We start from the raw sequence: 11223 nt of genomic DNA, 5'->3' as shown, positions 1-11223 counted from the left end.
ACTATCATATGTGCATGTTGGCCAAAATGTCATTATGGAGTGGATAACTGTAAATATGTGCGAAGCAAAGATTTATTATTGAAGATATGACCACTATTGTTTTCAAAACAACTAAGTATTTTATGAGACCTAAGAAATAAAAATTTCCACAGATAGATAAATATGTGATTTAGTTTGTTACTACAATACATCTGACTCAGAATGTAAAATAAGTAAATAAAATATACTAAGAAAATTATTTATTTACATACGCAAAAGTTTTATAAGTAAAACAAATCTGTATTTATATAAATTTAACATCCTTCAATAAGTGTGAAATAATACTTCTGCATGATGCAAAATTATTGGGTAATTTAAATTGTGCTATTTATTTTTGTTGTTATTCCTTAGAGGTTTATTAAATAACAAAACCTCAAAATCAGTGGCATGCTAGATTAGGTGAAGTATGATAAATCATAACTAAAGACAGTTATTTTAGGAATGTAAGGATGCTTTAGTGTAGAAAATTAATGCAATGCACCATTTTAATCGGTTGAAGAAGAAAGCTCTGAAGAGCATACAAATAAATATAGAAAAGACATGGCAAATTTTATCCCTTTTTTTTTTTTTTTTTTTTTTTTGAGACGGAGTCTGGCTCTGTCGCCCAGGCTGGAGTGCAGTGGCGAGATCTCAGCTCACTGCAAGCTCCGCACCCCGGGTTCAAGCCATTCTCCTGCCTCAGCCTCCCTAGTAGCTGGGACAACAGGCGCCCGCCATCACGCCTGGCTAATCTTTTGTATTTTTAGTAGAGATGGGGTTTCACTGTGTTAGCCAGGATGGTCTCGATCTCCTGACCTCGTGATCCACCCACCTCGGCCTCCCAACCACGCCCGGTCATCACTCTTTAATTATACACACTTAGCAAAATGTGCACATACACAATGCTTCATAATCTTATATGAAACGTCTTCTAAAATCATGGGAAACTATTTTAATAATTGGAAGCTTTCTAGAATTCATTCATTATGTCAGAGAAAAGATCAGAAGCTCCGCTAGCACTATTATTTTTCAACATTGGTAGCAGATTCAGAGTTCGTGACCATCTTTGATCTGCAACAAACTACAATAACCACCTCAAACTAGAAGTAGTTAACTAAATTAACATGATACGATAATATTTATCCACCATTTTATTGGACAGAGTTTTAACTCTAAAAAATAGCAAATGTTAGTGAAAAGGAAGAAGAAAAAAAAATCTTATACACTATTGAATGAGTGAACACAGATACAACCTTTTCAAGAGCAGTATCTATAATATCTAGTAAAGGTGAAAATGTTCAAACACCATGGCTTAGTATTTCCTCTTCTATGTGCGCAACCTTGAGGAACTCACAAACGTGCTTCAATAAATTTGCACAAGAAGTTCATAACATCATGTTTTGTTCATAGTAGCAAAAATATGAAAACTGCTCAATTGATTTCCTCCCAGCAAAGCAAAATTGGAAAGGAAAGAGGAAATGGGGCCTCATTTGTATGTTTTATATTGAATTTTTGGTTTTGTTTCTTAAAGATCTAAAACAAATAAGGCATAATGTTAAGATTTACTGAAGTGTGGCCAATTTTTAAATGTTTGTGTCCATGATATTATTGTCTCATTTTCAATGAATAAAAATTATTTCAAAAATTCAATGAAGAGCGCCTAGAATAAATTTTAAGTTATACAGGGTATTATGATTTAGAGCTATTGTAAGGGAGAAAAAATATTCACATGTATTAATAGTGTTTAAAATAATTTTCATTTGAGAAATTTTGTTTATAAAACATTTAATTTGGACTTTAATTAAAACCTTCATCATAGATTAGACAAGATAGAAAAAATAAACCTTAATTTTATGTTTGATTTGTCTGTAACTATTATATAAATATATTTTTACACACTAATATACAAACTGAAATAGCTAAGTTTCAGTTTATCATTATGAAATTTGGTAAAATATTTACATGAAGTTAATAATTTATATTGTGAATTTACTTTACTATAGTCTATTATTTTATAATTTAAAGTGGTATGATCATAAATGATGTAAAGATTGTTTAAATATTTGTAGTTATAACACTTAAACGGGTGTTAGTATATTATTTTGCAGATATAAATTCAGTATTATTTTAAAATCTGTTATTTAGTTTTTAAGTAAAAGATCTTTTCTTTGTTATCTTTATGTCATTGATTTTCAATGCCTTCATCTGGTGTATAGAACAAGTAGTCTGGATGTCCCTATGCCTTAGTGTATTGTGCAGATTTTCTCTTTGGATTAATAGGTTAAAATTTGACAAAACATTTCCTATGTGCTTTAGGAAGCATACGTTATTTCAGGTTGTGAAATCATTTTTTATACATGTATATTATGGCAGTCATAAATGATTTCTTTAAATGTATGCTTTATTGAATTTTCATGTTTGAGCTGTCATTTACTGAGAGAATTGTTTTAAACTCATAATATGCTAGTAGACTTATTAATTCCTTCTTATAGTTCTACTAATATTTGTGTTTTATATTTGAAGTTACTTTATGAGGGAAATATATTTTGAATTGTTATGTCATCCTGGCTAATAAAAATTCTATCATTATGTAGTGGTTTTTTTCTTATAATGATTTCCCTTGAAGTATTTTTGTCTGATACCAACATTTTGTTAACAGTTGATATTTGGTTAAAAATTCCACAACTTTTCCACCATTTGACTTCAAATATTTGCTATGTTTTTATGTTTTATGTTTGTATCTTGCAAACAGCATATAGTTGACAATTTTTAATTATTATCTGGAGAGTTTAGACATATATATTTACTGATTATATTTAGATTAATTTTTATTGTGTTATTTGTGCTCTTTTCCCTCTTTTTCTCTTATTTTGTTTTTAGTCAATTTCTGAATTGAATTTTGATTCCACACTACCTTCACTGTTTGGAAAATTATACACTGCTTTTCTATTTTTCCTGTTGCTATGTTATAAATTTAAATACACATATTTAGGGTAATGAATCTAAAGTTAGTTCACCCCCTAAAAAATAGTAAATAAATTGCTATTATGTCTGGCATCTCACTTCTCAACTAACTCAATAAACCCTTCTGGTTTATTATTTTAATTTTGTTTTAAATTTACTAAGTGTGATTTATCTTTTAAATTTTATTTTGATTTGATTTTTCAGAGACTAAGTGTCATTCTGTTGCCTAGACTGGAGTGCAGTGGCACCATAACAGCTCATTGCAACCTCAAACTACTGGGCTCAAGTGATCCTCCTGTCACAACTTCCTGAGTAGCTGGGACTATAATCACCCACCATCTTGCCTGGCTAATTCTTTTTTAGGGTTCTCACTGTGTTTTCTAGGCTGCTCTTGAATTGCTGAGCTCAAGAGATCCTTCCACATCGGCCTCCCAAAGTGCAGGGATTACAGGCGTGAGCCACTGTACCTGACCACCAACTATGATTTATTACTACTGTTCTGTAAATGTCAGGCTCATCTATCTTTTCTCATGTTTACCATTTTATTTTGCATGTCATTTCTTCCTGCAAGTCAATCCTTCTTTTGTAGGTCATTTACCATCTTCCTGAAATACATCTTGCAAAAGTAATTTTATCAAGTGTCTCCTGATAGTATTCTCAATGATGTATCCATAGTTTTTGACTGAAACATTCCATTGAAAAAAAAATAGTTTTATGGGATTTAGATTTCTGGAGTATAATATTTTAAGCATTTTAAATAAATAATTTCATTATCTTCAGCTTCCGTTCTGTCAAAATAAGAATTATCAAATTGCCATTCTTTTCTTTCTGCAAATTTAGAATTCTTATTTTTTTTTTCTCTGGAGTTCTAAAATTTCAATGAATCCACAACATAGATTTTTAGTATTTATTTTCCTCAAGATTCACAGTGATTTCCAAACACAAAACTGCCATATTGTCATTCATCAATTGGGAACATTTTTTAAATGTGATCTCTTCAAATATTCTACTTCTTATCTCCTTATTTTCATCTCTTCTGGTAATTTCTTTAGGGTTATGATAGACATTTTCCCCCTTTTTCATTCTTCATAACCCTTAACTACCATGTTATAAGTTCTGCCTCTTTATTTTACTCTGCTGCATTCATATAATAATCTAACTCTTAATTCTTATTCAATAATTTGATATTTGGCTGGGTCTAGTCTTCTGTTTAAATAATTTAGTTGTCACATTGAATAATATTTTCTTTTCTAGAAATTAAATTTGTTTTTTATACAGATCTATCTGGTCACTTTCTATTGATAAATTTTTCTTTATCCTATTTTCAATATCTTTTTTATTTTTTAATGTAAATATATTCATTACATTATGTTGAAATATATGATCTTGAAATTTGGAAATAAGAAACTTGAAACATTTCCATTCAACTAAATATACTATGTATCTGATAAATCCAATAACCGCTCTTAATTTTGAAGACTGTGACTTAAGGCTCTTTGCCTTCTTCTGTGTTTTGATTTTTTTTCTCCTTTTTAAAAAATTTTAAATTTATAAAAATTATTTTATTTTATGTTTTCTGAGGTGGGGTCTTGCTATTTTGCCCAGGCTGGTCTTGAATGCCTGGCCTCAAGTGACCCTCCCACCTTGGTCTCCCAGAGTGCTGGGATTATAGGTGTGAGCCACCACAGCAGGACTTTTTCTCCTTTTTTGTGAATGTATCCTTTGAATATTTTCTGTGGGCACACTTGAAGCCTGATTTGTGATTGTGTATTTTAACAGAGAATTTAATTTTGCTTCTACCAAAAAGGTATGGCTCTACAAACTCAGAATTATTTTCAACTTTACTGTAAACCTGAGCTTTTTTTTTTTTTTTAATAAAAAATATATCTTAGGGAGCTGGGCACAGTGGCTCATGCCTATAATCCCAGCACTTTGAGAGGCTGAGGCAGGTGGATTGCTTGAGCTCAGGAGTTGGGCAACATAGTGAAAACCCATCTCTACAAGAAATCAAAATTTAGCTGGATGTGGCGGCCTTACCCTATAGTCCTAGCTACTTGGGGGGTTGAGGCAGAAGGATCACTTGAACCTGGAAGGACGAGGCTGCAGTGAGCCGAGATCGCGCCACTGCACTTCACCTGAGTGTCAAAGTGAGATCCTGTCTCAAAAAAATAAAAATAAAAATAAAAATAAAAATATATATATATATATTTGCATCTTAGGATAGTTTTAGATTCACAGAAAATGTTATAAATATAGAAAAGATAGGTCCCATATGCCGTACCCAGTATCTCCATTTATTAAAATCTTACATTATTATGGTGCATTTGTAACAACTAAGAAACCAACGTTGGTATATTAATCTCCAAACTTTATTCACATTTCACTAGCTTCATCACCACTGTTCATTTTTTGTTCAGGATCCTGTTCTAAATGCCATGCTACATTTAACCATCATGCCTCCTCAGTCTCCTCTGCTCTGTGACAGCTTTTCAGGCTTTCCTTGCTTTTCATGATCTTGGCAGTTTTCTTTAAGAGTATTGGTCAGGCATTTTGTAGAATATTCATCAATTTGGGTTTGTTTGATGATTTTCTCATGGTTACACTGAGCTAATAGGTTTTAGCGAAAGTGACCACAGTGGTACAACACCCTTCTCACATTTTGTCATAGGCTCTGATATATGTTGTCTTTGATATGTCCTATCAGGTGTTTTGATTTTAAATTACTTCACAAGCAGTGTCAGTTTAAGCCTCAAATCTATGTAATTTTAGGTGATTGTCATTATGAATTCTTATGTGAGCTTTCATTTTTATTTTTTTGTCTCTATTTCAGGTGTAAAGGTAGACAAAAATGTAACTCCAAGGTAGAATCTATCTATTTTCATAACTTAAATAAAAATGGAGGAAAATTTATTTAAACAATGTTTCTTTGAAAACTTTGAAATTAACATTAGATTTTAGTATATAAATTTTATGTTGAAAGTTTTCAGATGTACTGTTAACTGTCCAGTGGGTTCCGCTTGTCACTCCCTATACAGAGCCAATCTATCAAGACTGGGGAATTGCAATAGAGAAAGAGTAATTTACACAGAGCCAGCTCTGTGGGTGACTGGGAATTTTGTTATTACCCAAATCAATCTCCCCAAGCATTTAGGGATCAGAGTTTTTAAGGATAATTTGGTGGATAGGGGGCCAGTAAGTTGGGACTTCTGATTGGTTGGGTTGGAGATGAAATCATAGGAAGTTGCAGCCATCCTCTTGAGGGCCACAAGACCAAATGAGCCAATTCATCAATCCAGGTGGTATCAGCTGATCCATTGAGTGCAGGGTCTGAAAAATATCTCAAACACTGATCTTAGGTTTTACAATAGTAATGTTATCCCCAAAAGCAATTTGGGGAGGTACAGAGTCTTGCAACCTCCAGCTCCATTACCCCTAAACCATAATTTCTAATCTTGTGGATAATTTGTTAGTCCTGCAAAGGCAGTCTAGTCCCCAGGAAGGAGGTTTACTTTGGGAAAGGGCCATTGTCGTCTTTAGTTCAAAGCTAAAACATAAACCAAGTTCCTCCTAGAGTTAGTTTGGCCTACACCCAGGAAAGAACAAGGACAGTTTGGAGATTAGAAACAAGATGGAGTCAGTTAAGTCAGGTGTCTTTCACTGTAATAATTGTCTCAGTTATAATGTTTGCAAAGATGGGTTCAATACTCATTAGTATAGTTTTCTTAATCATTATATTTGACTTTGTGTTGGTCCGTTTTGTTTCTCACTAGTTATGTGAGCAAAAGTTAAGGCTTACCTGTAAGCTGGAGTCTTCTCACCTGGCCACGATCATGGTGAGAATAAAGTGTAATAACATATTTTTTAGCACAGTGCCGACATACTATAAGTGTGCAATATATGCTTCCAATTATTATTATTAGCAATATTATTATCATTAAGGGTAGCAAAGTTCAAACTGATGAAGAAAACATAACAGCTTTGTACTGGAACCAAGGATTAAAATAATCAATTTAATTGTCTATTGTGATATTTAGGATATATACCATTGCTTAAAAGCAATATATTCTATGCAGGATAAATACTTAGGATCAAATTAGACAGCAATCTATCTAAAAAAACATTTAATTTCTCTTTGTTTAATGTTTCTGAATAATTTCTTGCTAAGGCAGTTTGTAAATTTGTCTTTGTACAAATGTGTTGTTAGTGTAACATAATTAAACTTTTGTCAAATGGTAAAAATAATTGATCAGGAAGATGAAAAAACATACAGCTATGGCCACAATTTAGTCTGGCACTATACATTTTAAAAATGCACCCATGTAATCATTGCTGTATTTCCAAATATTTTTAACTTGTTATTATGCATATGTTAGAGATGCAAAAATATTTTCTAGGTGTGATTAATGACCTATGACTATTCCTGAGGTCTTTCTTTTTCCATTTATAGCTTCTATACCAGCAAAAAGTGAGGAATGAAAAATAACCTCATTATCTTTATGCAATTGCAATCACTGGGTTTTCCTACGGCCTTTTCCATCAAGTTTTCATCAAATATCTATTTCTCCTTGCTGAATATCTATAGGTATTTCATGAAAAACTAGATGTTTTAAGTTCATTCTTACACTCATAGACTTTATGAAAAAATTTTTTCAAGAAGTATCATCATTGTATAAAGAAATTAGATTACTAACATCGAATTGAAAATAAATGTTACAATAAAACACCAAACAGTTGAACTAATCATTTGTCAGTATAAGATAAAGCTCAACATAGTTATTCAAAAAATATAATGAAGCATGGTTTATTATGTATTTTGGTTCTAGTTATAGTTATTAATGTTATAATAAAAATTAAAAATAGAAGAGCTAAATATGAGATCACTTGGTTTGATTATTACATATCAATATGCTGGGAATTAATCAAACTTCTAGTAGCGTGATTATATTCAAAGTGGAAGCTACCTTTCATCCTTACCTTGTTTTCTTAGTATTTACCGTGTTCCACTTCCAAAATCATAATCTAAAAATAGTCTTAGAAATAAGAACAGTTTAACTGAATGTTCTTTATAGTAAATAACTTTTTGTCCCCTATTTTGAGGAGAGCCATAAGCATTAACTTAGAAGTTTGAGTATGAATTATTATTATTATTTGAGAAGGAGTCTCACTCTGTCACCCAGGCTGGAGTGCATTGGCAAAATCTCTGCTCACTACAACCTCTGCCTCCCAGGTTCAAGTGATTCTCCTGCCTCAGCCTCCAAAGTAGCTGGGATTACAGACTCCTGCCACCATGCCTGGCTAATTTTCATATTTTAGTAGAGATGGTTTCGCCATGTTGGCCAGGCTGGTCTCAAAATCCTGACCTCAGGTGATGCACCTGCCTAGGCCTCCCAAAGTGCTGGCATTACTAGCGTGACAGTATGAATTCTTAAAAACAGCTTCACTTAGTCTGACTCTTTATATTTTATATATTTAATGTTATAAACAAGTCAAATACTAGGATACATAAGGGGTTATCCCTGATTAAATAAAAGGTATTCATGCTTATAATTATTTCTAGTAACAAAGAAAATGTTTAAAGATTGGTTAACATATAATATTTTCTATCTACATACAAACTTAAAATGATCAAGAGGAAGTTTGGGGGTTGAGAAAGCATCCAAATAGAAAGAATTAAATTCCTATGGCTTTCTTTGAGCACTCTTTCCTTGCCACATAAACTCGCATGCACTTCCTTTGATTTGGTGGCCATGATTTATCCAAGAGAAAATCATTGGTGTATCTGTTTCTTGAAGCTAAGCATTATCTGTTTTATCTCATAGAAAGTGACCTCAATATAAAATATCTGACCTAAGCAAAGGGGATTTACATCTCCTTTCCTTCGATCATACCTAAAAGAATAGGTATAGTTAACCAAAGTTTGAACAGCCCTGTGGCTATTGATGATTCCATAGTGGCCACACATTTCCATTTTAAAGAGATCAAGAGTCAACACCAGAACTGTCCTACAAGAAACGTTAAAGAGAGTTCTTCATTCTGAAAGAAAAGGACTTCAATGAGTAATAAGAAATTATATGAAGGTAAAAACCTCACTGGTAACAGTAAGTACACTGACGAATATAGAATATTATAACACTGTAATTGTGATGTGTAAATTACTTATATCTTGAGTGGGAAGACTAAAAGGCAAACCTATCAAAAAAAATAACTACAACAACTTTTTAAGACATAGATGGTGTAATAATATATGAATAGAAACAACAAAAAGTCAAAAAATAGGAAGATGATGTTAAAGTTTAGAGTTTTTATTAGTTTTCTTTTTTCTTGTTAGCTAATTTGTATAATCAGAGTTAAGTTGTATGTTTAAAATAACAAGTTTTGTCATTTGCAAGCCTCAGGCTAACCTCAAATCATAAAACCTACGATAGATACACACACACACACACACACACACACACACACAAAATGAAGCAAGAAATTAAAACATACCACCTGAGAAAATCACTTTCACAGAAAGGAAGACAGGGAACAAGGAAGAAACACAAGACCACAAAACAACCAGAAAACAAATAACAAAATGGTAGAAGTTAAGTTCTTACTTATCAATAATACATTGAATGTAAATGAACTAAATTATGCAATCAAAGGAGACAGAGTGGCTGAATGGATAAAGAAAATAAGACCCAACAATCTGTTGCCTACAAATGCATGTCAACTATAAAGACACAAATAAACTGAAAAAAAGGATGGAAAAAGGTATCTCATGCAAATGGAAAGTAAAAAAGTTATGGGAGTAGATATACTTATGTAAGCAAAAGTAGATTTCAAGAAAAAATTATAAAAAGAGACAAAAAAGGTCATTGTCATGGTAAAAAAAATCAGTTCAGCAAGAGAACATAACAAGTGTAAAGATATATGTACTCCACACTGAAGTACCCAGATACATAAAACAAATATTACTGAAACAAAAGAGAACACGATACAATAATAGCTGGAGACTTCAACACCCCACTTTCAGCATTGGACAGATTATCCAGAAATAAAATCACCAAAGTGACAAAGATCTAATCTGCACTATAGATCAAATGGACCTAATAGATATCTACAAAACATTTCATCCAACAGCAGAATACACATTCTTTTCTTCAACACATGGATCATTATCAAGTATAGACCATATGTTAGTCCACAAAACAAGTCTTAAAAAATTAAAAGTCTATCAAATATTTTCTCTGACCACAACAGAATGAAACTAGAAATGAATAACAAAAATTTGGGAATATACAAACACATAAAAATTAAACAATATGCTATTGAATGACCAGTGAGTCAAGTAAAAAATTTAAAAGAAAATGAAATAATTTCTTAAAACAAGTTAAAATGAAAACATAACATACCAAAACCTATTGGATACAGCAAAAGCAGTACTCAGGGGAAAGTTAATAGCTACAAGTGCCTACATTAAAAAAGCAGAAAAACTTGAAACAAACAATTTAATAATTCATCTTATAGAACTGGAAAAGCAAAAGAAAATCAAACCCAAAATTAGTAGAATAAAATAAATGATAAAGTCATAGCAGAAATAAAGTTGAAATGAAAACAATACAAAATATTTTTGTAACTAAAAGTTGCTTTTTATGCAAAGTAAGTACAATTGACAAATTTTTAGCCAGAATATGAAAAAGGAGAGATTTAAATGAAATCAGAGATGAAAAAGGATACATGAAAACTAATATCTTAGAAATTTGAAGGATCATTAGAAACTACTCTGAGCAACTATATGCCAATAACTTAGGAAACTTAGAAGGAATGGAAAAATTTCTATTCACATATAAGCTACCAAGATTAAACCATGAAGAAATCCAAAACCTGAATAGACCAATAGCAAGTAACAAAATAAAAGCCACAGTAAAGTCTCCCAGCAAAGAAAAGTCCTGGAACTGATGGCTTCATTGCTGAATTCTACCAAACATTTAAAGAAGTAATAGCAATCCTACTTAAACTATTTCAGAAAATAGAGGAGGAGGGAATACTTTCAAACAAATTATATGAGCACAGAATTAACCTGAAACAAAACCAAAGACACCTCAAAAAAAAAACAAAACTACAGGCCAATATCCCTGATGAACACTGATGCAAAAATACTCAACGGAATACTAGCAAACTGAATTTCATTAACACATTATAAAGATTATTCCTCATGACCAAGTCAGATTCATCCCAGAAATGCAAGGATGGTTCAAT

General features: G+C 31.9%; 1 annotated feature.

Annotated features, from left to right (window-relative positions):
* Positions 4360-4529: an enhancer, noted in NCBI's record as "experimental_66130 CRE fragment used in MPRA reporter constructs". NCBI's record gives its function as "activates a minimal promoter by MPRAs in K562 erythroleukemia cells, with activity observed for both the introgressed and non-introgressed 3:162472376 variant alleles {active_cell/tissue: K562}" and the evidence as "EXISTENCE:reporter gene assay evidence [ECO:0000049][PMID:34662402]".

This window comes from Homo sapiens, chromosome 3 (genome assembly GCF_000001405.40).
Source record: "Homo sapiens chromosome 3, GRCh38.p14 Primary Assembly".
NCBI classification, from domain to species: domain Eukaryota; kingdom Metazoa; phylum Chordata; class Mammalia; order Primates; family Hominidae; genus Homo; species Homo sapiens.
Note: the sequence above shows the minus strand (reverse complement) of the source record. Positions and strands in the feature narration are given on the sequence as shown.